The sequence below is a fragment of the Homo sapiens genome, chromosome 3 (genome assembly GCF_000001405.40).
Source record: "Homo sapiens chromosome 3, GRCh38.p14 Primary Assembly".
Lineage (NCBI taxonomy): Eukaryota > Metazoa > Chordata > Mammalia > Primates > Hominidae > Homo > Homo sapiens.
The window spans coordinates 135,349,445-135,376,854 of NC_000003.12; the positions used below are offsets into that span (position 1 = coordinate 135,349,445).

The 27,410-nt window shown below is 41.2% G+C and overlaps 1 long non-coding RNA gene across 2 annotated transcripts in view; it reads right to left on the reverse strand.

Moving 5' to 3' along the window:
- Window positions 1–5,347: 5,347 nt before the first annotated feature.
- Window positions 5,348–27,410, reverse strand: part of LOC105374122 (uncharacterized) — a 161,587-nt gene continuing 139,524 nt past the window's right edge. For both annotated transcript variants that reach the window (XR_924528.4, XR_924527.4), the window contains exon 7: window positions 5,348–6,877. This is a non-coding gene — a long non-coding RNA (uncharacterized LOC105374122). The remainder of the gene's footprint in view (window positions 6,878–27,410) is intronic.

The window sequence follows — 27,410 nt, forward strand, 5'->3', positions numbered from 1 at the left end:
TTAGACATGCAAGAACACAGAGTAATAGAGGCTTCTTTTGGACAGGTGCTTTCATGATCATCACTGTGTGGGAAGGAAGCCTGGATCTTAAAATAATCTACTTGGAAGGGGCACAGTTTATGCCTGCTCATATTTCACTGGCCAATGTAAATCACACAGCCCCATAGAACCTCAAAAAAGGACAGAGGCATGGTCCAACGATGTGACCAGAAGGTAAAAGACAAGCTGGAAATATTTAGTAAACAACCACACCAGCATCTTGTGGATCCAGACAACCCGCCTTCCCAAGCATGGAGAGCCTTCCAGGTCCCTCTCACACCGTGCGCCAAGAACTACACAGAACCATGCTGATGCCTCTGGATATAAACCTGGTCTGTTCAAAGACCACACTCGTCTTTCAGCCATCCTAGGGGAGCTTTAATTATAGCAAGTGGTCCTGTCATCTCTGTTACAGAATCTCAGGATATCGGGCAGAGTAAAAAAGAATGTTAACCAGTCTGCTCTGCAGCCTTCTTGAAGAAGTAGACTCACTCTTTTTAAGAAAATTATAAAAAGAAGGAAAATCCTAGAGACTCCTCTCCTCATCTATTCTGGTGCCAAATAATTATGTCCTTTCCATTTTTCCTTTCCTGATTGTATAAAGCACTTGGAAATAAAAACAAACAACAACAACAACAAAACACAAAGCAGTTAACGAACATTAAATATTGAAAAGAGATATCATAGTGTGTGGGTGGGAGAGAGAATAAAATAGATCTCCCCAACCCACGTACCCTCCCTCAGAAAAACTGTCTAAGTTGGGCTGCAGGCTATGATATAATTAGAACAATATTGCCCATTTGCAAAGACATGTGCCTGTTTTCATGAAATGGAAGCATCTGCTGAAATTATTTGAGGTGTCCCATCACTAATTAAAAGAGCTTTCATTTATAGAGGATGCACCATATGGGTGCTGTTGATTCTTGGGTTGCTGGATGTGAACGAGCACTGGGGGAGTTGTTGGGGCAGGTGTATGGTGAGAAATATCTGGGAAAAGTATGATTTAGCCTTCCAAAAATTCTATTATGCTTACAAGGAGGTGGGGGCGGGAGAGGTGCTGCTGGAAGTTGTTTAAGACTTGGAAACGTGACACATCATCCCAAGTTGCCCTCAGTTTCATCTTTGTCCACTTATGAGCCTTGCCTCCCAAGCCTCGCTATACTCTTTAACTTGCCAAATTGCTACAATGTCTTCAGGGGACTTTCCAGATAAAGATATCAGTTATAGGACTTGTGGAGCCCTGTGCAAAATGAAAATGTGGGGCTCCTTGCTCCAAAGTTATTAAGAATTGTTATTAAGTTATTAAGACTGTGACAGCAGAGCATGAAACCAAGTGCAAGCCTTTTTGAGTACAGAGCCCAGTGCAGCTGCATATGTCATGTACCCAGAAACCAGCCCTGCAGGTCAAGATCTGCTGGAGAAATGGAGCTGAGAGGTGGTGAGATTAAAGCAGAGAGCCATGCCAGACAATAGTCACCCCACACATTTTAACTACACTCTGCCTTGAAGACCACACAGCACATGCTCTTGGCAGGACAGGCTCATGGCAGAGCTGTGATTAAGCCCAGATACTGACTTCTGGCCCCACATGCTTTTCTCTACTTTATAACTCAGAAAATTCTGCTCCCTAAAGTCCTACTTTGAATTATTCTCACCCACCATATACATACTCTAGGAGCCCATGTACATCCTATTTAGCACTGTGAAGTAGCCCAAATAGGTGTCAGAAAAAAAAAAAGTCAGTCCCAGCTCAGCTGGAGACAGATGCATATAGGACACATCAGTAAAGCTAATTCTTATAATTCTCAATAGCTAGAAGAATCATAACAGATTATTCAAGATGTGTATTTCCAACTGTGGGGTCAATACCTGAAATGTACTTGAGGCAATTATAAAATTATTTCTTTTAAAAAAGATATTAAGGGCAAGGAAATAGCCAGTGAACTAAGGTCTCAGGTCTGGAGCTAGTGTTTTTTATTTGGTTGGTTGGTTGGTTTTTAGTGTTTTCTATGTTCAAGGGAATAATTTCACTCCAAAAATACTTTGGGGTACAGAAATATCCTCATTTTTCATATTCCAGTTTTTAAAGAATTCTCTTGAGGAGGCAGGAGAGCCACAATATCCAATGGGTAAAATACCTTTTTAAAAAACAACAGTTACAGCACATCAAAATTTGTCATGTGCAGGCAAAGCTGTACTTCTAAAGAAAGACCTAAAATCAATTACCTAAAACTTTCAACTTAAGACACTAGAATAGGAAGAGCAAGGTAAACCCAAAGTAAGTAGAAAGATAGGGATAATAGAGCTCTGAGCAGAAATCAATGAAATAAAATGCAGGCAAAAAGTATAGAAAATTAGTTTAGAATAAAACTAGTTTAGAATAAAAAGTATAGAAAATTAGTATAGGAAACTAATTTTCTAGCTCTGGCTATTGGAAAGTTCAACAAAATTGATAAACTCTAGCTAAATAGACTAAGCAAAAAAGAGAAAGAACACATATCACTAATACTAGGAAAAAAAGTGTTTATCACCACCAATCCTACATACATTAAAAGAATAATTAGAAACTACTATGGATAACTTTAGGCTAAAAACTTTGACAGTTTAGGTGAAATGGAGGGTTCTTTTTTTTTTTTTTTTTGGAAAAATACAGTTCACCAAAATTGACGTAAGAACAAACTCAAAAACTAACAGTGCTTTATCTGTTATTTTTTTAAAAAATTAAATTTACCTGTCAAAGAAAACTCCGGGAGATGATGTGGGAGGCAGAATAATGGCTTTCCAAAGATGTCTACATGTTATCCCTGGAATTCGTGACTATGTTATGGTAAAAAGGAATTAACACAGTAGAAGGAGTTAACGTCGCTTGCTCATCGGCTGGCTTTAAAATGGCGAGATTATTCAGGATTAGCCAGGTGGGCCCCATGTAATCACAAGCGTCCTTAATGTGAAAGGAAGCAGAAGGGTGAGTGTCAGAGTGAGGGCACCTGAGAGAGAGGTTCACCTGGCCACTGCTAACTTTGAAAATGGAAGGCGCCATGAGCCCAAGAAGGTAGGCAGCTTCTAGAAGCTGGGAAAGGCAAGAAAACAGATTTTCCCTCAGAATCTGAGGAAATTCAGCCCAGCTGATGCCTTGACTTTAACCCAATGAGACCTACTTCAGAGTCTGGGCCTTCAGAACTGTAAGATAATAAACTTGTGTTATTTTAAACCACTAAGTTTGTGGTAATTTGTTATAGCAGCAGTAGTAAATAAATAGTTTTTCTGGTTATTCCTATCAAACAGTCAAGAAAAACATAGCACTAATGTCACATAAGTTTTTAAAAATAGAGAAGGATCAATGTCTAATTCATTTGCTGAATATTTTCAATACCAAAACCTAACGAAGACATAGCAAAGGTAAGAAAATTGCAGACCAATATTCCTCATGACTATAGATGTAAAAATCTTTAACAAAATAACAGTGAGTTGAATTTAACAATATATATAAAGGACAATGTACCATAATTAAGTAAGGCTTATTCCAAGGATGCAAAGTTGGTTTAATATGTGAAAATCAACATAATTTACCATGCTAACAAAATACAAAAGTAAAAAATATATATATAATTATTTCAATAGATGCAGAAAAAGTATTTGACACAACTAAACAATCATTCATGATGTTAAAAATAGAAGAGAACTTTTTCAACCCAGGCTTCTGTATCTAAAAACAATGCAAAACAAAACAAAAAAACAAATAACATCATACTTAACTGTAAGAGACTGAATGCTTTACCCCCTAAGATCAGGAAAATGCCAAGGATGCCCACTGTTACCACATCTATTTAGCATTTTTCTATAGATTCTAGTTATGGTATTATAGCAAGAAAAAAATACAAATACAGACTAGAAATGGAGAAAGATGCAAAATCTCCCCTATTTGTAGATGACGTAATTGTTCATCTGGAAAATCTCAGGGAAATTACAAAAGTGATTATTAGAATTAATGAATGAATTCAGCAAGGGCATGAATTATAAGATTAATATAAAAAAATCAGTTTATTCCTATACACCAATAGCAACCAAATAGAAAGTGAAATTTAAAAAATCCTTTTAGATCAGCACCAAAAATATAGTATATGTAGGAATAACTCTAAAAAAGAGGTTTAAGACCTCTATACTGAAATTATAAAACTTTGCTAAGAGAAATTGAGACCTAAATAAATGGAAAAATATATTATTTTACTCTTATAGGTTGGAATATTATTAGATGTTAATTCTCTCTACATTCAACACAGTCTCAATCAAAATTTCAGTAAGCATTTTTATGGAAGTTGACAAGCTAAAATGTATGTAAAAATTCTAAATTCTATATAAATTCTGAAAGTTTATAAAAATGCAGAGTTCTTGGAAAGCAAATTTTAACAAGAACAACATTGGAGAACTTCAGCTGGTTTCAGTAATCAAGACAGTGTGATATTGGTAAAAAGACAGACATATAGAACAAAGGAACAGAATAGAGAGCTCAGAAATATACTGCACGTATTTGATCAACTGATTTCTGACAAAGATGCTAAGGCAATTCAATAGGGAAAAGAGAGTGTTTTCAAAAATGATGTCCAGTTAGCTGTGTGGTAAAAACTAATGAGCATTGATCTTTCCCTCACACCAAACAAAACAATTAACTCAAAATGAATCATAGATCTAAATGTAAAACTCAAAAGTATAAAATTTCTAGAAGAAAACATAGGAGAATATCTTTGTGATCTTGAGGTTTGCAAAGATATCTTAGATAGAACACAAAAAAAAACCATAAAAGAAAAAATGATAAATCAGACTTCATCAAAATCAAATGTTCTGCTCTTTGAAAGACATCATTAAGGAAACAAAAGGCATACCACAAACTAGAAGAAAAGATTCACAACACAAACATCAGACAAAGAACTTGAATCCAGGATAGACAAAGAATTCTTGTGACTCAATAATAAGACAAACCAATGGGCAAAATAAATGTGAACAGTCACTTATAAAAGAAGATATCCAAATGGCCAACAAGCACTTGAAAAGATGCTCTACATTATTAGTCATCAGGAAAATGTGAGATAAAACCACAATGAAGTACCACTAGATATCATTAAAAAGTCTACAATTTAAAGACTGGCCACAGCAGGGTTGGAGAGGATGTGGAGGAACTGGAACTGTCATATTCTGCTAGTAAGAATAAAACAGTTTGGTAGTTTCTTCAAAAATTAAATATACACCTACCATAGGACCAAGCCATTCTACCCTTAGATATTTACTCAATGAAAACACAGAGACTTATATATAAATGTTCAAAGCAGCTTTATTTGAAATAACCAAGTAACTGGAAACAACCCGAATGTCTATTCACAGATGAGTGGCTAAACAAATGTGGTATATCCACACAATGGAATACTATTCAGCAATGAAAACTAATAAACTGTTGTTGCACACAACAACATGAATGCATGTGAAAATAATTATGTTAAGTGAAAGTATCCAGATAAAAGAGTGCATAAAGTATGATGCAATGTATATGAAATTAGAGAGAATGCAAAATGATCTGTATTGACATAAAACAGATCAGTGGTTGCCTAGGAATAAGGGTGGATGGAGGCAAAGATTACAAAGAAGCAGGAGGTAACTTTTGGGGTTGATATAAACTTTGATATTTTAACTGTGGTGATTATGTAACAGGGGAGACAGTTGGATCTCAGAGAACTGCAGCAGCTTGGAGAGGGTGGCCAGTGCTCCAGAGGCAGGTCTCAACATAGACATGTCTGTCTCCCAGATCCTAGTCTACAGCCCTTTTCCTACACCACCAGACCTCTGCAAAAAGAGTTCTGCTGAAACCCACAAGTGCTGTAATCCCCAAGACATATAAACATATTGAAAAAAGATCTTTGGGAGGCTTGTTAAACAGAGATCTTGAGTGGTTTCACAAAAGTAACAGAAAAACTAGTTTCTGGATACTAACAGATTGAATCCCCGATATCCACTGCAAGGGAACCTTCTAGCAATAATTTCTATTTTTGGAGTTCTCTATCCTCAGCACCATTTTTCGGTTGCTTACTATGACACAAAGGGAAGTTTAAGAACATTGCCATGCCACTTAGAAAATTGGTGGCAGAATCAGGATTCAAATGCAGGCAGCCTGACCTCAGGGCTTGAGCACTTAACTGGGATGCTACTCAGACTCTCTTCCTCTGCCCCAGGCAGGCTCTCCCTTGAGCAGACAGTTACGTTTCCTTGCCACCTGTCCAGATTATACAAATCAGCTTTCCAAGGTGATAGATGTGTGGAGTCCTATTCTTGGTAATCTATTTATACAAAGACCACAGCAATATAATTGCAGCAAGCAGTCATCTATTTATTTGGCCACAGCGGTTCAAAGTATAGAGCCAATCTCCTTGGATTGAATTCCCTTAATAGGGACCACTTCTCATCAGTGTAAATTTCAATAAACAATTGTCACTGAGAACCTGTGAAATACTTCTTTCGGCACCTTGGTGGGAGAGAGCTTCTAAGACCTCAAGGAATTTTAAGTGGGTTGGGGTAACAACAGCCAGCATGGGAGAGCAGCTGAGCATATCTGTCGAGGCTCAGGCAGAATTCAGGTGATGGGGTCTGTTCTGGAGAGGTAACAGTGGCCACGGGAAAAGAAAGATAGAGTCAGAAAACTTCAGGCTTGATGAATAAAGACAATCTCATGGCCCATTTTTAGCTTCTTCCTGGGTCCTTTGTTTATGTGGGAGAAGGTTTCTGATCAACCTCTCCAGAGGATTTTCCAGAAAGCTCTACCTTGGACTTCTTCAAACTCCTTGGCCCTGAAGTGCTGGAGAGAAAAGAAATAGCACTGTTTCTGTGCCTTGAGTCTGAAAAAGAAGCAAATCAAGCAGCTGGGAGATCCAGATTTTGCTCAATAACCACCTACAAAGAACGGAACAAAGAATCCTATAATTGGTTTAAGCCCAAGATAGGAATATGATTATTTTAACCAAGGTAACTTTGTGTATTTCTGAATTAAAATAATTATGTTTCTGAATCAATCAAAATGTCCAATATAAGCAACCTCCTTGCTAAAATTACCGGAACTTACTGATTTTTTTTTTTAAGAATAAGGAGTATTTCCCTCCCTCAAGTTAAAAGTATCAGAAATCAATTTCCAATTTGTCCCTGAGGAAGTTTCCAGGTTGGTCCAAACGATTCTCTAGTGCATTAGCATGTTTTGAGGGCCATTCATGTCATCAACAGGTGTGTCAACTTAGGACTAGCCAGCATCTGTACTCTCTCCCTATTAGCCCCTTCCTCCTTCTGCCCAAGGAGGGAGCTTAGGAGACAAGATCAAGTGGCAGATGCCGAGAGGGGACTTAGCCATGGGGGCTGTGCTGACTGATTAAGAGGTTTGGAGGGGTCTCCCTGGTCCACAGAGAAGGGCTGGCCTGAGTTTGGGAAAGATAAGCACACACACAAGAAAACTCTGTGAGAAAGAATTAACTTCACCAACCAATTATTTGCACAGGGAAAGCAAAAGGCAGAGGCAGATGCAAAGTGACCACCAATATTCTTCCTTTAAAAATGGGAGAGGTGACTGTTTAACCATTACAGTGCTAAAACTGGGATTAGGGAAAGGACAGTTGAGCAGCCCTGTGGTCCTATGTTAGTCTGGGGGCCTCAGTGTGGACATCAATGGCACAGCTGATCCCATGGGAAAACCTGTGGGTGAGAGCAGGTTCCTGTCACTGAGGCTGGACGGGGCAAATGCCATGCAGCAGGGATCATTACCTGGCTGTGTCTTTCCATGACAAAGGGAATTTTATGAACAGCAGACTGTCAGTGGGTCTTCAGAGTCTTGAGAATAAAGCAAAATCTCCCCAGCCTGGCCCTCGAGGCCCTCTGTGAATGGACAATTGGGATGATTTTCCACTGACCAATCAAAATGGACAGTGGCCATAGTGCTGAAGAATACTGGACCTCAAGGCCCCCTGTGGTGCTAAGCATTAATCTTTAGCTCTAGGTTTTGGAAACTTCTCGGGGCAGGAGGTCAGGGGAAGCAATTGTCCCAGGTTGTTGACAGCATGTGGAGCAGATTTCGGTACTTTAACAATCAGCATGGCCATATTTCATTGCCCAGCTAACAGCATTATCTGCAGCGGCCCCTTAAGATGAATTATCTTGCCAGCAAGATTGGTTTCCTCATAGCCCCCTAACTTCTCACACTAGGCTCTCTGGCTTTGCTTCTGACGTTCTCTTGCCTGGAATGTCCTCACCCCATCTTGGATTCTTGCTTAAAGCGGAGTATGTATCCAGCTCTTGCTCTCTCTTTGCCTGAGCAAAAGCGATACCAAGTGCCTACAACCAGATACGCACACACTGCTTAGAAGTGTCCTAATTTCAGATAGAAAGCTCCTTGGAGGTGGGAATGGTGCCTGGTACTTACATCTTGCTCCTCCTTGTGGGTTCCCTACAGAATCTTGCACACTGCCAGGCCCATAGCTAGTCCTTAGTAAGTGCTTTCTGCTAGAAACTGAACTTATGCAAGTGATGTCATTAGAAGGGTGGGAGAAATCAAAGGTGAAGAAGCGAGAATTCCCATCCTCTCCTTCCCTATACCTACCTTTATGGAGCTCCTTTTAGGCTTACTGCACTTGATCTGTGTGTTACCAGTAATATCTGATGAGTATTCAGCATTTATTAGCTTTTAAGCACTTCATATGTACATGCATTTAACCTTTACAACAAACCTGTGAATTAGATATTATAATTATCCCCATTTCATGAATGAGGTATCTGAGGCAGAACAAAGCAAGGTGACTTGCCCAAGGTACCCCCAGAATCCATTCACTTAGCCCTTTGTTATACCAGCTCTCTCAGATGAGCGAGGCTCTCTGTGGCATAGCTTGCTTCTTGGGTTTTCTTTACAATGATTTTAGAATCGATCCTCCTGTACCTCCTCCATCCCAATATGATGCTGATTTCTTCTTGGCAACATTACAGTAGAAGACAAGCCAACACTCACATAAGATCAATTTGTAAACCAATAGAATTTATCTAAATTTGTTTAGGATCAATGGGAGTCCTTTTCTGCAAGCCCCTGTGGAAAACAGAATCTAGATTGAACCTTTTAGCTGAAACCTCTAGGCCAGTGCCCAAATACTTTGTAACTGTACCGATAGGCCCACACTGGTTGTGTTGAGAACCCATTAGAAGAAGTAAACCATTTGTTGCAACTGAGCAGTGTTTTGATATTAATTATTATGGACACTTTTTGAACACCTTATATAGAGCAAATATTGTCCTAAAACATGTATATTCATCCTCTCATTTAATCCTCCCAAGAATCTGATGAGCTAGGTATAATTAGTATTCCATTTTAAAGTGGAAGAAACAAAGACACAGTGAAGTTTACTAAGTTACAAAAGCTCTCACAGGTAGCTGATAATGGACCCAGGATTCAATTGTTGGCAGACTTATTTCATGCCCAAGTACCTAATCAGGATTTATGTTTATCTTATTATTATTTTAAAATTTTCATTGGTACCTGGAGTTATGCTACATACTAGAATATGGTGTGCTAGAAAGCATGCTCAACCGAGAATCAGGCACCATCCAGAGCCTGAACCAAATCATCAGCTCTTAGGGGTCCCCTCATTCCAAGTCTGTAGGATCTTATGATTCTCTATCTCAGTTGATAGTATGTTATGTGGTTTCATATATATAGACACAGATATTAATATATACAATACATATCTTTATTCTCTTCTGGACCCCATCCCAGACATCTTAGACTCATATTTGGTATTAAACCTCACACAAAATCTTAGAAATGAGATATTACATATTCATTTTACAAACACGGAAATCAAGATTCAGCAAGGTTGAATAACTTGCCCATTGTTACCCACTTAGGGAGAGGCAGCAGAACCCCTACCCTAGTCTTCAAATTCCTGACCCAGTGCTCCATGGGAATCAGGCACCTTCAGATGGTAGTCAGGAATCACTTGTCAATGGGCATTGTCACAGGCAAATGTCAAGGGGAATATTAAAAACAGAGAGAATACCAATTGTTTGAGATGACTCAGAGAGAATATTTTCTGCCATCCCATGGCTCATGTTTGCCTCCTTGCATATGCTATAATTCTGTCCTTGTAAAATATCCCTCCTTATGTTCTTTGCCAATCCCATGCCCACTCATTTTTGAAAAGTTGGTCAAATGCCATTGCCTCTGGGAAATTTGGCTAGCTGAGCCTTCCCCTACCTCCTCCAGGCCAAGTGATTCTCTTTCTCCTGGGCAACCCTACAGCATTGGGCATTCACCTTTATGGGCCTCTCCTTGGTCTTGTGGCCATTACTTTGGCATCACAAAACAAAGGTTCAAGGCTTAAATCCCACTGTGTTATCTCCTTCAACAAAAACAAAATGCTTGAGTTTGATTTCCAGTTCTTGCACTTACTAGTCAAGTAATCTTGGGCAGATTGTTTAACTTCTTTTTGTCTCCATTTTTAAAATCTGTAAAATGGAGATAATTGGCTTCTTATGAGGACTGAATGAACAGTGCATGCTAAGTGCTTGGTGCATTGCCTGTTATGTAGTAGTAATATTAGTAAGTTCTCCATAAATTGGAACACTTGTTTCATCATCCTGTTGCTGTCTGTACATCTGCCTTCTCCTCCAACCCACAAACCCCTCAAGGACAAGGCCCTGTTTTGCTCATCCCTGTCTCTGCAGAGCCTATCAAGGAGCCTCCATCTGGTAGATGCACAATGGATGTCAGTGAAGTGACAAAATTTTATGCCTTTGATGCTTTGATATCTCTTGGATGCCCTGTCTTCCAATGCTCAGCTCCGGAACTGAGGGGCTGCCTACCTTCCCCTCATCCCCCTAATCAGGCCTTGTTCTCCTTAGCAGCTCTTTGGCTCCAGCTTACAAGGCACCTACTCCCAAGCTCTCCAGTTCCCTCTGATTCATCACTCCCAGAGCTCCATGTCCAACATGGCTTTATGTAGCAACAGAAGTGGCAGTTCAGTGGTGTGTGCAAACTTTGCTTTCATTTTGAATCAATGAAACTTTTAAAAATCTTACCTTATTCCTCAAAGGCCCATAAGGCCCTTCATGGGGCTCAGGAGAATTGTTCACTGTAAGATTTTAAAATTGCTTTCAAGTTACTTATCATTCATTCAAGCTCATGCTATTCTTTAAAATTCTTATTGATTTTTGAAACAGTCCTTTAATTGATATCAAAAAGCAATTACATTTTCCAGGCTGTAAATCTGCTTCACTCCCAATATTAAATTCATCATCTCTGTAAATAATTTTCTCTTATTATGCATACGTATTAACCAAACTATGAATAGCATCATTAGCGTACCCATGGTTGCCTTAACAATCAGTGACCCTTGAATTTGATTTAGAAAAATTGATTCCTGCTGAAATTTTCCCCTAAGTGAAATTGCCGTTCCTGCTGAATGTCTGGGCAAATGAAGGCATTAGAGAGTCGTTACCTTCCATTTCCTCCTGGACTTCAATATAGCAGTTACAAGCAGATATTTGCACAGGCTCACCTGTTGATGAGCCACCCTAGTAAAAATCATTGTAGACATATTTGTTCTTATTTGATGTTCCAGTTTGGGGTCTTAGGAAAAGAGACTTCTCAGAAATGTGCTCCCTTCTAAACACACAGAGGGACACAGTGCCTTCATCTTGAAGTCTGATGTCCAGCTGTGGGAGGCTGTGGGGAGGCTGAGCAGGGTGAGAGAACAGAGGAAGCTTGTGATTCGCAGCAGAACAGCCTACAGCCACAGAGCATGGAAACATCGAGGATCATACAACAACATGGAGAAATGCCCATGGTGTAACATCAGGAGAAGAAATCCAGGATGATATCTGGGGTACATCAAAGGAACATAAAATATGAAGGCATGTGGATAAGGAATAGAAGGAGACAGGAAAATCAAAGCAGTTGATTTAGGATAATTGTATTACATATAAATTTATTTATTTTTTCCCCTTGCTTTTCTTTTCTTTATTATTATACTGTTATTTTCTTAATAAAGGTAAAAATGGGGGGAAAGGAGGAAAATCATATTTAGGTTAGAGTAACCTTGCTGTCAGCCTTGGTTAGAATCATTTACCAACTCTGAGACTCTAAGGAACTGTGGTGTGATAGCAAGTTGTGAATTTTGTGTTAGACCCAAGGGGGAACCCAGTACTCAATCAAGTGGCTGGGTAGCTGTGAGCAGGCTGGGGAAGCTCCACCGAACATGCATCTCCTGATAAGCCAGTGTGGTGATGTCTGTAAGGCACCCAGCACACCAGGAGGCATTCAGACCCTCACCTTCCATCTCTATAAAAGAGCAATATTTATTTATATGCCATCTAAACATTGAATTATTTAAAATCTATGGGAAATAACCTTTAAAATTATAAAATTATGTACAAATACTATTTTTATTAACTGAAATGAGACTATATTTCAAAGGAGGAAGGCAAAATGGCTGCCCAAAGGACCAGGAACTACAATGTTTTCTACCCAATGGTTCCTTTTCAGAGATCATGGTGTGTAAAAGTCTGCCAATGCATCTGCACCTCTCTGGGTCATGATGCCTTTGGGGTATGAGGACTTATTATGACAATGCAACTTCCCCATGGGACAAGAAGGATAATGAATGGTCATTTTTTGAGTGTTTACCCTGAAACAAATTTTGACAGGTAGAGTTTTGTTGACTTGAGAACAAGACCTTTCAGCCCTAGGATGGAGACCTAAAGGTATGTGGGCTCCCCAAAGGCACAGGAAGAGTATAGCTGAAAAGGGCACTAAGGTAGTGTAGGCTGAGGGAGTCCCCCATGGCGTCCTCCACATTAACATACATATAATTGTGGTTTCAAAGGAGGAAAGAAAATTGGATAGAAGAGAGTATTTTAGGTCATAAAGATGAAGAGTTTTCAAACGTGGTTACAAACATCAAGCTTTAGATGCAAAAAGTTCTATGAATCACAGGTAGAATTAACTACAAAGAAAGCCAAGCCTAGGCACATCATAATAAAATTGCAAACATACACACAAATCATAATTTATCAACAAAATTAGACACATGTACACATCCATTTAGCCAACACCCATAATAAAATAGATGGCATTTCCATCACTCTAGAAAGTTCCTTCATGACCCTTTCTAGTCATTTCTTACACAGAGTCAACCACTATTCAATTTCTATTACTGCAAAGGCAAGTCAGGGGACCAGCTGTAGATACATGGAGGGCTGTTCTCTAGGGGAGGGAGCCTTCCCCTCTACTACTCTATCTTTTATGGTGTGTGCCTGGCAGTAGCCTCATCTGAATAATGAACAATTTAGATTCAAGCTCTAACTCATCTAAGTTTCAGACTGTACAGGGAGTTGTTTGAGAGGCCAGTTTCTAGCACCAACTACCCAGTAGGAAGTGAGACTCCAATGGAAGACAAAGCAATGGAAAAGCTGTACGGAAAGCCTCTATCCCAGACACGTCATTGACAGGAAACAGGAGCTTGCATAGTAGCCCTCTTGAGTAGGGCCCACACTGGCTCCCTTCCTCACATCAAAATCTGATGGGGAGAATGTGCACCCTTCCCCAATCACTTGACATGCAGCTCACTCTGAAGACGCACTCCCTCCCCTAGACAGTCTTCAGCTCTGCTGCCAGGCTGCAAGCTCCAGCCAGGTTTTCTGCTCAGCTTCACAGTTCCAATTGCCTTAGCTCCAGAGACACAGGACAGGCTGAGTGGTCCTATAATGCAACCATCTATTAAGTTAAGAGGAAACATTCCTCTCTTTCTTCCACAGACAGGGGAGAGGACATGCCACTACCCCAGCCATTCTTTACAAAGAAATTCTCTCTTCAGACCTCTTCAGCCTCAGCCATTCTATAAGCTGGTGGTGGGTGACCAGTTAATGCTATCACCCTGCTTTGGAATATGAAACTACTTGGCACTCATCATATTGATTTTGGACCATAGTCAAAACTGAATTATAAAGATCCTCATTATAAGCCTTGATAAAGCTGAATGTTGGTAGAGATCTTCACTTTAATATTCTCTATAACTTTTTGTTTGTAATGTGTCCTAATACAAATTTTTAAATGATGAGAAGTAGTTAAGAGGTCAAACAAGGCCTTTTTAGAAAGGCAATATTTTATTTAGCAAAGAACCAAAGGAATGCAAGATGGAAGTTTGTCACAGGCTAAGGCGACAGCAAGGGCAAAGTCCCTGAGTTGGTAATAAGTCCAGCATGTTCTAGAGGACAGGAAGAAGATCTGTAGGGCTAGAGTAAAGTGAGTGAAAGGCAGAGTATAGTAGATAAGATCAAAGATAGGCAGGGGACAGATCTTGCAAGTCCTTGCTGGCCATGGCGAAGAGACTAGATTCTATCATGGATGTGGAAGAAGATTTAAAGGGTTTTGCACAGGAGCATAATATAACACAACACACACTTGTAAAAGATTCCTCTCGCTACTATGTGGAGATACCTATCCTGGGGTGACAGTGAGTGCAAGGAGACCATTTGCAGTGTTCTGAGGGAGAAATGGTGTGTGGCAGAGACCACCACCTAAACCTTCTCCCTTTACTCACAAGGAGACTGCATTTCCCAGCCTCCTTTGCCATTACATATGGACATTGACTTTTTGGGCAATGAAATATACATAGAAGTATTGCATTTCAGTTCTGGGCCAAGGTGGTTAATAAGCAGCATGTCGTCTCTGCTTTCTCTTTGCCTGTCTGCTGGGAGCAGTGAACTCTGAAGAATTAGGAGATGGAAGTGGCCTGGGTCCCTGAAGCCCCCATGGAGAAGGCTTCCTGCCAATTGTGAACACCTGCATACACTCTGATATGAGGGGAAAATAAGCTTCTCTTGTGTTACACCATTGAAGTCAAGAGGTTTGTTTGTTGCAGCAGCTAGAATTCATGTAACTAGCAAAGGATGTTACAGTGAGATTGGTGGGAAGTGATCAAATTTAGAAAACACAACATTCTGAAAGTAGACACTATGCAAAGACTGTGCCAGTGACTGTGTTAGGCAACACGTACATTTTGGCTCTAATTCTCACAATACCTCTGAAAATAAAGTTTTATTATTCCAATTCTACAGTTGATGAAATGAGGCTCAGAGACGTTAAATAACTCACATAGGGTCACACAGCTAATAAGTGGCTGAGTCAGGATTAAAATTCCAGGACTGTCTCTCTGTCATGCTGCTACACTGTCAGGTATGCTGGGGTTAGGGTTACTTATAAGGAGAAAATGAAATAAAGAGACTAAAGTCCTCTGAATATGCTAGTTATTATTATCATTATGGAAATAGGAACAAGGCAGTTGGAGAAGAGAACTTCTTGTCTGAGTCACCCCTGGATGATGTGCATATGTCTCTGATTGGGCCTCTGCTGGGATATAAGCTATGGATCATGACTCTGTCTGGAGCTTCAGAATGTGAGCCCTTCAGGTCAGGGCTTGTTCATCTTCATAGCCTTAGAGATGGATGCAGCCCCCAAGAGGCACTTAATATGTGCTCATGAAACAGTGATATTAGGTATGGATAAAAGTTTGTTCAGTGATAACATGTCCAATGATGATGAAGTCTGCTGAAGAGATCACACCATCACACAAAGGTGAGGCTTGTTACAGGATTCTGAGCCCTCTGAAACTCAATTCCTAACCATTCTTTTAATGTACGCTAGCTGAGGCCTCCCTCAGTAACCACAGGTGCTGCGGGTCCCAGCCATGAGGTCCCCTCCTCATCTTGGGAGACTGTGTCCCAGAATGGTGGGCAGGAGAATTCATCCTGACAATATTCTTCTTCCTCTCACTGAAGTATTTTCAGGTTTCTTGCCTCCCTGAACTACAATGGGTTCACCCATGGGGGTCCTGAATGCTGGTCCGTTTTCTTCTCTTTGTGGTCTCTCACCTTGCAGGCGTCCTTCTTGCCAAAGAGAAGCATGAGTACGTTTGTCCATGCCAAACTGAATGATAGGTGTGCCAAGAACTCACAAAAGCTGCTGAGATTTATGGCTACCTCTCCTTGTTTACATTTATATTGCATGGACCCTGAAGGTGAGAGCCTTTCTTCTGAGACATGTGCGTTGCTGGAGCAGAAGACCGAAGAGAAGAAGGGTCTGCAAGAAACACTGAGACAGAAACAGCCACAAAAGTGCCAGGGTGGGATTGAAACCACTCAGACTAGAAGACAATCACCCAGTCAGACAATGGAGAGTTTGATTTAGCCCCTGGAGTAGTAGCTTATGAGGTCTATAACCGTGGGCAGTATAATAACACCCCTCTGATAAACTGTATTGAGTATTGACAATTATTCACTGCCTCTCCACCCAGTCCATGTTTCCCTGCAGGTGAAGCATAAACTTTCCCACCCTGCTGATTTTAGGGTAAGAGAAGGAACTTGTTTGGGCAATAAAATGAGAGTGTGGATGTGATATAAGTCATGTCTGAGCAGCAGTTAAAAATATACTTGTGTGATTTGGCTCTGTCCTTTTTGTTCCTACCCTCTACCATAAGAAGAGCATGTCTCAGAGAGTAGCTACTCCTTTCTTCTGGACATAGAGCCCAGTTCCGTCCAGCCCAACAGAGTCCAACAAAGCTTCACTAACCTGCAGCTCTCATGAATGTGAATAAGAAATAAGTGCTTAATGGTTATGAGCCATTGAGGCTGTTCGTTACCACAACAGAAGTTAACTAATGCAATCCTTCACATGCATAATGAGGGTTTTCTCAAACATTACCTTCCTGAGCTAATACTTGGGCATGTGTGTGTGTGTGTGTGCACGTGTGTGTGTGTTTACAAGGGGGGCTATCCCAGGCAAGGTAGGCTTCATTTTCCTCATGATCAAATGAAGAGGTTGAGTGTTAGAGGGTGAGTCCAGTGTCAAGTAGAATTCCAAGCCAGACCTCAGCATTAGAAACCCAATGTTCTTCCCACATCTGACAGCTTCCTGGCCACACCAAGCATGTCCTGTCCTCTGGACAAGATACAGTTTCCTGGGGATTCAGCTAACAAGCTGGATTCCCATTCATTCCCCACCCTGCGACCACAAGCCCCATAACCACTGGGGATGAGTCTCAGGCATCCATAGTCTTAAGAGATGATAAAAAGCTCCAGGAGAGACTCTGGTCTGTCAATCAAAAACATCCATGGCAGCCTCACCTCCAATCCTCATTAGCTGTGACCAAAAGGCAAATCACTTAACCTTTTATCAAAAATCACAATAAGAATATTTGAACTCTCTTCTTTTCAGAGCTCTATCAGAACCAAATGAAGTAATTAATAGCTGTGAACATGCGGAATGCACATTGCCTATGGCAAAGTACTGTGAAAGGGGAGCGACCCTGTGCATCCTGGGCATTTAGAAGGCCGAGCAGCAGTCACTGATGCCTCTCCCTTTAAGTTCAGTGCCCCAAGGTGACTCACTTTTCTGTTGTTTGCAGCCAGAGTGGCAACCTCACCACCACCTCCAAACAGCCCTGAGTGTGGGCCTGGTCTCCAGCACAGCTTACCGCCAGTTGGGGGTGAAAGAAGGAGGGATGGGCACTATGCCCAGGGGAATCATTTGGAAGACTGGAAAAAGCTGACAAGAAGTCACCCTGAATAATAGGTCTGAAGATACCAGACCAACTCAGCAGGTTACAAAATCATTAACCAGGAAGGCTGAAACAGATTCATCTATCCATTCACTCATTAATCTTTTCAGCATTTCCTCTGGGTTCCTCAGTGCAGGAGTGTTGGGAGAGCACCTTGATGAAAAAAGATTCTCTTCCTGTTCCTCTGGGACTAGAAACACACTTAGCATTATGTGGTTCATAGCCCTAATTGCCCAGGTGGGGAAACTGAGGCCTCAATGAGAGGAAGGGCCGGCCTAAAATCACACAGTTAACCAAATCATCTCATTATCAGTCAGATCTCCTCTACACTTCATTCTGCTAAAGAAAAATACCCTGTCCTCAGATCACACTTTACAGAAAGTGTTGTATATGCATATGGGTATAAGTGTGTGTTAGAGTGTGTATGAGTGTGCATCTTCGTAAATGAGTATGAGTGGATGTGAGAGGTTTGAGCGTGTGTGCTTGTGTCTGCATCTGTGTGTGTGAGTGGGGGTGAGTGGAGGTGAGGGTATGTCCTGTGTGTATGAAGGGGTGTGAGCATGTGTGTTATGGGGAAAGCACTGATGAACGAGGGTCTAAGAGAAGACCAAGCACAGGGTATGGAGGTCACCCTTTCCAGAGGGGTCACATCTTCTTCCACGGACAGCACTAATGAAGCACTACCCAACTCTTCTTTCTCAACACCACTTATCAGCCATCAAAGCTTCTTTCATGCAATGTAACCTTAAGTAACACTTCATTTTAGTATGGGTTTTATATTCCTACCATCTTCCATTCGCTTCAACTTTAGTCCTTTACTAAAATAATGCAGACTGCTGTGAGTTTGTTTTATACACTCTTTAACCTCCAGCGAATGGGCAAGGGGTGACAATCCATGGGAAGAAAAGAAAAATGGCCCAGGAACCAAAAAAATCTACTCCTAGATAATCTGCACTCATGGGCCTATGAGAAAATGTAAAATGTAAAGAAAATGTAAAATTTTGACATATTTTCAAATTATTCTTTCTAATCTTACAAGCCTAAAATGGAAATGTTGGCAGTCCCAGAAAATTAGTAACTTGGATATAGGAAAACTACTATACAGCTCTGCTTAACACATGCTCTGGCATATTTAATCTATATTCTAAATTTTGGAAGGGCCAAAAGAGTTTGGCTTCTTTAAGAAAAGGGCTGTCAGAAGAAGGCTGCACAATACTGCACACTGCAGGCTCTGGAGCTGAATCTTTAGTGTATCTGAGGAGTCTATTCATCAGAAAAGGCAGGCCAGGGGAGTAGAGGGAGTTGGGCATGAGGCAGAGAGCAGAAACTTCCTCTGCCGGGGACTCAGCCTTCAGGTAACCACGACCTGATAGGAAGGGAACCAGACTGTGAACCACAGGAGCTTTTCATTTTCTTTGTGCTCTGACCACAAAAGGAAAGGAAACAAAAAAGTCAATTGTCTTTTAAAGGACTTGAAGAGAGAGGAAGGAGCAGAGATCCCAGGCAAAAGCCAACCCAGAAGGAACGTGGGCCAGAGGTTCAGGACAGGCAAGAGCTAGGAAGACTGTTAAAAGGATTCCTGGAGGATGAGAGGAAAATCTTAGGTCAAGTAGTAATTAGTCACAGCTCACATTCACATTCGAAGGCACCAATCTGTGCCTTACTGTTCTATTTTCTTCTAGACTCCATTGCAACCTTGAACTTATTCACCTCCAAGAGGATAAAGTTAATTAATGCACATTGTTATTCTTTAAAAAGATTTCTTTGTATAGAAGAATCATGACTGACTGCATTATGAGCACTATCACGGAGATATCCAGCTATTTAAACCTGGAGAACAGGCAACACAAAACCCACGCAATCCCAGACTGAACCTTTCCTGTGTAGTCCTTGACAATTGCCAGCTCAACAGCAATGGCTCCTTGTGGTAGGAAAGATGTGGCAGAAATAAAATAGTGAGTGGCAGGCCACGCAAAATTTCCTTCCAAAACTGTAAATCCACCCCCTTCTCTGCCACTGGAAAAAAAAAAAACATATCCAAATATGAATAAGTGAAAGTTATATTGTTATAAAAATAATTTTGAAACTATTGTTGGAGGAAGACAGAAATTACTTTAATTATTACAAATGTGGACCACACACCCTTGTGCTTGCTATGATGTCAAGCCGCAAACCATGGTCTTAGATAAATGAAGGAGAAAGGAGGCAAGTGGGGAAGTTTTCAGAGACACAGGTCCTGTTAAGATCTCAGGCTCCATGTCCTAAAGATAGAGAGTATAGGGACATCTCTGGGATCCCCTTCCAACCAGCCTCAAGGACACTTTGACAAGTTCCCAAGCAGAAACTTTTTAGGTCTCCTGGCCAAAAAGTATAATCACTGTTATATTATTTTGCTTAGATTCTCTTCATTCTATAGGTTCTCTAACTCACAAAATATTTCTGCCTACTTATTTGGAATATTTTTCATCTCAAAACTGCAGCAAAACATATCTCTTTCATACTAACATCAGCATGATTGTTCAGATACTAGGACCTTTTGAAGCCTTCTTTATTTTTAATAATTTTGAAAGAGCATACTACACCTACTCCCCACTCAAATGGCTACTGTTTTTTGTTTTTTTGGTTTTTTTTTGGACATTTCTGACTATTGTTTTAGTCTCTCCATATCCTAATTGGAACAAGAATTATACACAAAGCTAGTTACTTCTGCTATATTCCACAGCTATTTTGTATAATCCTCTATTATGGAATTTATCAAACAGCATTTTAATTATTCGTCCAACTTCTCTCTCTCTCCCTTGCCTAGATGATGATCTCATTGAAGGATGGGATCGTGTTACATTCATCTTTGTATACTCCTCATCAAAAGACCTGCATGTAGAAATTAATCAATCAATGTTTAGTTTTGGATGGATGAATAGATGGACATAAAAGTTTGACATGATCTGCTTTCCAAAATGTATGAATGTGCTCTGCTTCTCATAATGAGGGAGACCTATAATAACCCAGCCTCTATACTTCTCCCTTCCCTGTTGGAATGTTTACAGCCACGGGATCAGCAGTCCGCAGCCTAGAAATGGTCTTTAGAGGGGCAGATTGAAGTCCCTCTGAGTTGTTCGGGATCCTGATCTCTGCCCAGATTTCTTTCACACTAGTCCAGCCAAAGAGTTGGAAAGCCTTGGTCCCGTATCATGGTGCCCCCTGTCTGCTCACAAGCGCTGTTGTGAGCCAATGGAACTCCACCTGCCTGATTACAATTTGCTTGGTTCACTGAGCCAATTGCCCTGCCTTGGTTCCTAAGATGACTGTGATGACATTTTCTAGGCTTAGCCATTTCCTCTCACTCCATATGCCTTTTTAGTTCTCCTGGCCAAAAAGTATTCTCTGTAAACGATTGAGAAGCTAATTTATACCAAAGAGTAAATGATTCACAAGGCTTAGTGTATTACTCTTTCTCAGGACCTTTGCAACTTAAAGGGGACAACATCTTCAGTCAAAAAATAAATTTCAAGTTGTGGCATATCAGGCATAAGCATGCTCTCAATTCTTTCTGGCTGGGCATACAGTCTCTGCCCAGGGCTATTGGCTGTAGTGCCCTCTTCCCCTCCTCAGCGCTGTCCCCTCCCTGCCATCCTCACTCATATACAACCTTGGCCTCTGAATCACAAGACCTCAGGGTCTACATGGATGACCATCCAACACTCTAGCTTCCTCGTCCCCTTTTTCTCTATTCCACATTGGTCATTTAGTCCCCAAACCAGCTAAGCCTTGTCATTATGATTCATTTTATGCATAGATCTCACTCTTTCTCCAGGTATCTTCTCACTGGAACCTCCAACCAATTAATTCCTTCCACTCTCTGCCACTCTATCAGCTAGTTTCTTTTCTCATTCCCATCCTTTTCAAACTTAGATCTCATGGTCCACCACTCCATAACACTTTTTTCAGAACTCTAAACTCTGGCAATCTTTTTATCACACTCATCTGGCAAAAATCCAACTCAATGAATCTAACTCTCCTCTTGCTCTGAGATAGGGCATGAGCTGCTCAGTTTTATTGAGAAAGTGCTACAACAGGGCAGATCAATTTCACCATGTATTTATTATAACTATTCTCAGATGGGCTCTCAACACTGCCCAGCAAGCATGCCACTTTCATCTCATCAGCTCTGCTACACACTTTCTTCTTGAGCTGGCTTCCTCAAACCTCTGATTCTCCCACCTCTTTGCTCACTCTTGGCTTACAACACTGCCTCCTATTTCACAGGGAACACTGAGTCCATTTCACAGAATTCTCTTGCCTTCCCACCACCAAGCACACAAGCCCACCCACCTCCCTCCTGTTCCCTGGCCTTTTCTCTCTCCCACCAAACAAGGCTAGTTTGTCCACATGGCTTAAGATCCATCTTCTCCTGCCTTCTTGGGAAGCACATTGTCCATGATCTCTTCTTTCTCTAGTTTCCTCCCAAATGGATTTCCCTCAATAGTATTTAAATACCCGTAAGTCTTTTCCATTTAAAAATAGACCTTTTACAACCTTGAATACCCCTCCTCCTATTGCCCTTTAAACCAAACTTTCTGAAAAAGTCCCTCCCTATTTCCTCTTTACAGTTACTCACCCCTCTCACTCCCCAGCCTACTCCAGGCTGGCTTCAGATCCCATCACTCCACTGGAACAACTGTTGCTTGGGTCACCGGAGGCCTCCAAATTCAAAGGGCATGTTTCAGTCCCAGCTCACTGCCCCTGTCAGTTACACTGGCCCTGCTGGACATGCCTGCTTCTTGATACTCACTCTCTTCCTTTTGCTTTAGTGACATACCACTGCCTCACTCATAGACTTTTTAGCAATCTCTTCTCTGGATCCTTTACAAGTTTCTCCTTTTAAAATTGACTACTTAATGTTGGATTTCCTCCAGACTTGGTCCTAGGCTCCTTCATCCTCACACTCTAACCTCTCTCTCTTGGAGAGCTCATCAACCTTGTGGCTTTAGATTCCACCTATGCACAGATGAACCCTGGAATCCAACTTCGCCTTGGTCTCCAGTTCTTTCACTCCTTCATGCTATTTGTTCTGCCAGACTACCAGGTCTCTCCTTGAATAGTCTGGTCAGAGGTCCCACATCCATCATACCCCACAGCCTCATACAGATGTCTTGAGATCAGAATGGCTGGGAATTCCAAAACCAGTTCACCTAGCATCCAGCAGTTCTTCTGACCTCATGCTGCTGGAGAACATCCTGTAACAGAGCTCATTCACTTCAACCTCCCTCAGGGCCATGGTTTGAATGTGTCCCCAAAGTTCATGTGTTGGAACTTAATCCCAAACCTAACAGTGTTGAGAGGAAAGACTTTTAATAAGTGATTAGGTTACGAGGGCTCGGTCCTCATGAATGGAAATGTCATTACTGAGGGATTGGCTTCCTTATTGAATGAGTGTTTTTGTTATAAAGTGAGCTTGGCCCCTCTTGCTCTCTCATGCTCTCTTGTCCTTTCCACTTCTGCCATGGGATGATGCACAAGGAGGCCCTCGCTAGATGCCAGCACCCTGATCAAGGACTTCTCAGACTCCAGAAATGTAAGAAATAAATCTCCGTCCATTATAAATTACCCAGTCTGTGGTGTTCTGTAAAGCAGCATAAAATGAACCAAGACAACTGCTATGTTTCTCTGGTATGGCGAAGGATTAAGATGGACTTTGGTGTCCAGTAGACTCTAGTTAAAACTCTGGCTCTGCGAATTCCTTGTTGTATAACAACAAAAGGTTTCATTATTTAATGAGGTTATGTTATCTAACTTCTTTAAGCCTCAATTTCCTTATGAATAAAGTGAAGACAATAATGTCTAGGAAGTAAACTATATAAATTAGTAAGTACTAGGCACAGAACAGTGCCTACCATATAGGATACCATCATAATGGTAACATTATTATTGTTGTACTTTTATTTGATTTTGATGATTCCTTATTGCATTCTTCTCTGTGTTGACCCTAAGACATTTCTATTATTCCCAAGTCCTTTATGGGTAGACATTGACTTCTCTACATACTTTGTAAAGAAGATCAAGGTCATCCACCATGTGCTCCCTCAGTACCCTCCCCTGGACTTCAAGGGTTCCTCTACATGGAGCCTTGCAGTCCTCCCTCCTGCAAGCTCTGAAGGGTGTGCCTGTTTCCTTATAGGACCAGCCCTCTTCAGTGCATCCTGGCTGCCATAGCTCAGGCACTTCCCTCCATGAGTTATCCACTCTATCTTTCTTAATCAGACTCTCCTATTTCTCCCTGTATGCCAGGACAGAAATTTCATCTCTCCTAGCCCTAAACAAAACAAACATATTTTTAAAAACTTCTCTTCACTAACAAGCTTCTTGAATGGAGCCTACATCAGTTGCCCTTCCCATTCTCTTCTCAGCCACTTGCCGTACACCTTCTATCCTCTCAGTCTTCCCATCCTTTAGAGGACAGTGTCCCTACGGGGTCAATCACTGTCCACCTCTCAGGCCTTCCCTTTCAGAACTTTCTGCTCCATATGACAGAGTTGACCACTTCTTCCTTTTGAGCTGTCTCTTCCCCAGGAGGTTCTGGTTCTTGGCCTCCACATTTAGCTCTTCCAATTCAGTCTTTGTCATGGTCTCTTTTCATTAAGTATATTTGGTATAAATTTCTATCCATAGACTTAAGTGTTTAAGAAATGCTTTCTTTTAAAATGTTTTATTAATCAACTTGATTTCAACTCTGAGCTTCCATCTTGCTGGGTTGGTGAGAAATTCAGCCTGAGTGATTCACAGGGATTTCTCTTCCCTCTCCCCACAGGGAGTTGTGCCATGGTCCTAAGGTAGGACACAGGGCCCAGACATAGGGAGGTCCCTCTAATATTATTATAGAACATTGGTTCACCCTGGATTACCACTGAGAATCCCACTGCCTCAGCCCCTTCTCCTTCCTCACCAAGCTGATTGAAGGGAAGTTTTGGCAAGGCTGGCAGCCTAGGCACCTTGGGCCACCACTCTGAGGTCCTGCCAATGTTCAGAGTACTGCCAGAGACAGGGAACACGACCCTGCTGCTCTGCTCCAAAACCACAGTCCTTGACTAGGAAGTCTCTCTTCAATCACTGGAAAATCCTCCTTATCTCTACCATATTCATCTTCTTCAGACAGCCTTGACCTCATACATCCAGAGCCCTGTCTCTTGAGGCACATAAGCGCAGAGTTTGCAACCTGCCTGAATGAGGGAAGGAAAAACAGAAAGCAAAGATGAATCAGTATATCAAAAAAGTATCCTGCCACCCTGAACTTATGAGAGTGGTTGCCAGCAGGTGGGATGGGGGTGGGGGTTGTAATATTTTATTTCTTTTTTTTTTTTCAACTTAGCAGATTTGACCAAATATATTTATAATGATAAGAATATGAGATTACATTTTTTCTTTGCTTGCAACTGCATTTTTAATGTCTCAAAATGAATAACAAAATTTAAAATCTCAAATAAAAATTTATCTTCCAAATAGGCATTTTCCAATTTATGTCTGTATGCAATTTTCCTTGATGATTCACCTATTCTAATGGTTTCCAGTTTTCCCACAGCACAAGTGATTCTGAAATTGATCTTGCTGCCTCCAAGCCATCTCCTATATGTCAGAATGTCATATCCGAGTGATCCTGGACACCTATATTTGCATATCTGACAGGCAGCTCAAGCTCCACCTGCCACCCTTGACACAGAGCCCGCTGCAACCCCCCATCCAATCCATCATCAAACCCCATAAACTCGACCTCAGAACCTCTCAAATCAATCTTCACCCCATCTCTTCTTCCACCCCTAATCCAAGATACCTTTACCCCTCAACTGAAAAACTGCCACTGTTCTTGAGAATTTCTCTACCTACTCTCCAATCTGTGCTCTACACAGCAGCCTAAATGAGATTTTGATGCCCAACCCCCATGTCACATGAGGTCACTTCCTGCCTGAAGCTGCCTAATGGTTTCCTTTTAGAATAGGATCCAAACTCTGCAGGTTGGCCTTCAAGTCCTGACCTAGTCTAAATTCTGTTTCCAGGTTGCTCATTCTTTGTGCTTATTCTCCATACTTCAGCCAACACTCGCCTCTTTCAGCTCCCCCAACACACCAAGCTATTTCCCACCTTCAGGGCTTCTTTCAACCCCACCCCCCACCCCCCAATAAAAGTTCTTCCCACACTTCCACACTGCCTCTAAAATCCTCTCTTCACACAGCAATGCTTTGAACTGCTCAGCTGAGCATGGTGAGCCCTTGATTAACACTTCTTAATACTTCCCATTGCTCTTGGAGGGTGGTTCAAAAGGCTTAACATGGCCCACAAGCTTCTGCAGGATCCAGCCCATCTGGATTTCAGCCACACTGGCCTTCTTTCAACACCTCCAATGTGCCAAGTTCCTTCCTGCTTCCAGGACGTTGCTCATGCTGTTCCTCAGTATGACCCCCTACCCCTCACTCTTCACCCAGGCAACTTCTACTTATTTAGGTTTCAGCTGAAATCACATGTCCCAGAAAATATTCTCCTGACTTTCTACCTAAATCTTGAGACTTTCATCTTCCCAGGGCTCTTATTACAACTAGTGATGATGTTTTTATTTTGTGATTGTTGTCTATGTTCTCCACTCAATGAGTTTAGAGAACTCTGAACATCCCACCCTGCCTTGTTACCTGGTGGGCTAGTTGAATGTTAGGCATATAATAGGTGCTCAATGAATGTTGACTGACTGACTGACTGAATGAATGAATAGTGAATGCTTAGATTTAATGCCATCTTCTTTTCCCTCCTCCTCTCCCCAACCTGATCCACCCTTCTATTGTGCTTCTACTCTCAATCACTGGCACTTGAAACCACCCATCCTCAGGCTCAAAATGCTAGTATTACCTTTGACTCCTTGCTCCTCCTCATTCCTTCTACCAAATAGGTAGGCAACATATATCAAGTTGACCTCTAAATAGCTCAAACACACATCCTCTCTTTTTCTTCCCCATTAGTAAGCCCATGTTACCTCCCATTTGGATTATTAAAATTTCTTCCTAGCTGCCCTCTCTCCCACTGACTCCAATCTGTTCTCCCTGGAATCAGGATAGTTATTTTCATAAAGTTCAGATAGACCTCTTCCTCCAGATAGCCTACCATTTCACACAAATCAAATCTGAATGGAACATTATGCAGCAATTAGAAGCAACAGATTAGATTTAAGCATAGCAATATGAGTGAGTCTTAACAACATATTGTTTAGTGAGAAGAGTAAGAAAAGGAATGAGATTACTATAACACAATATCATTTACATACATTAAAAATACATGCAGCAAACAGTAAACATTTTGTAAATACATAGACAAGCAAAAAGATAGACATCAAAGGCAATAATGCAGTTTCCTATGGGGAGGAGGAAAATGGGAAAGTGGCATGGGAGATAAAAGAAAAAATAAATAGAAGAAGAGAAGAGCTTGGCATGCCCATCATTGGCTTGGCCCAGTGATAATAAATGGGCAATGAACTGAGAAGGAAGATAAACGCCACTCACTGCAGCCAAAATTCACAAAGAAAAAAGAATCAACAAAACAACTTGTATCTCAGACAATTAGTATTCAATTCATTTTTGCATAATTCTTTACAGCGCTTGGGACAATTTTTTGCACATTACTGGGGCAACAGTAGAGGTGGAAAAAGTGCATTTGTTTTAACCAGGCAAGCCCCATAACATGCCTCAGTGCTGAGAAAAACCATTCATGTCCTCA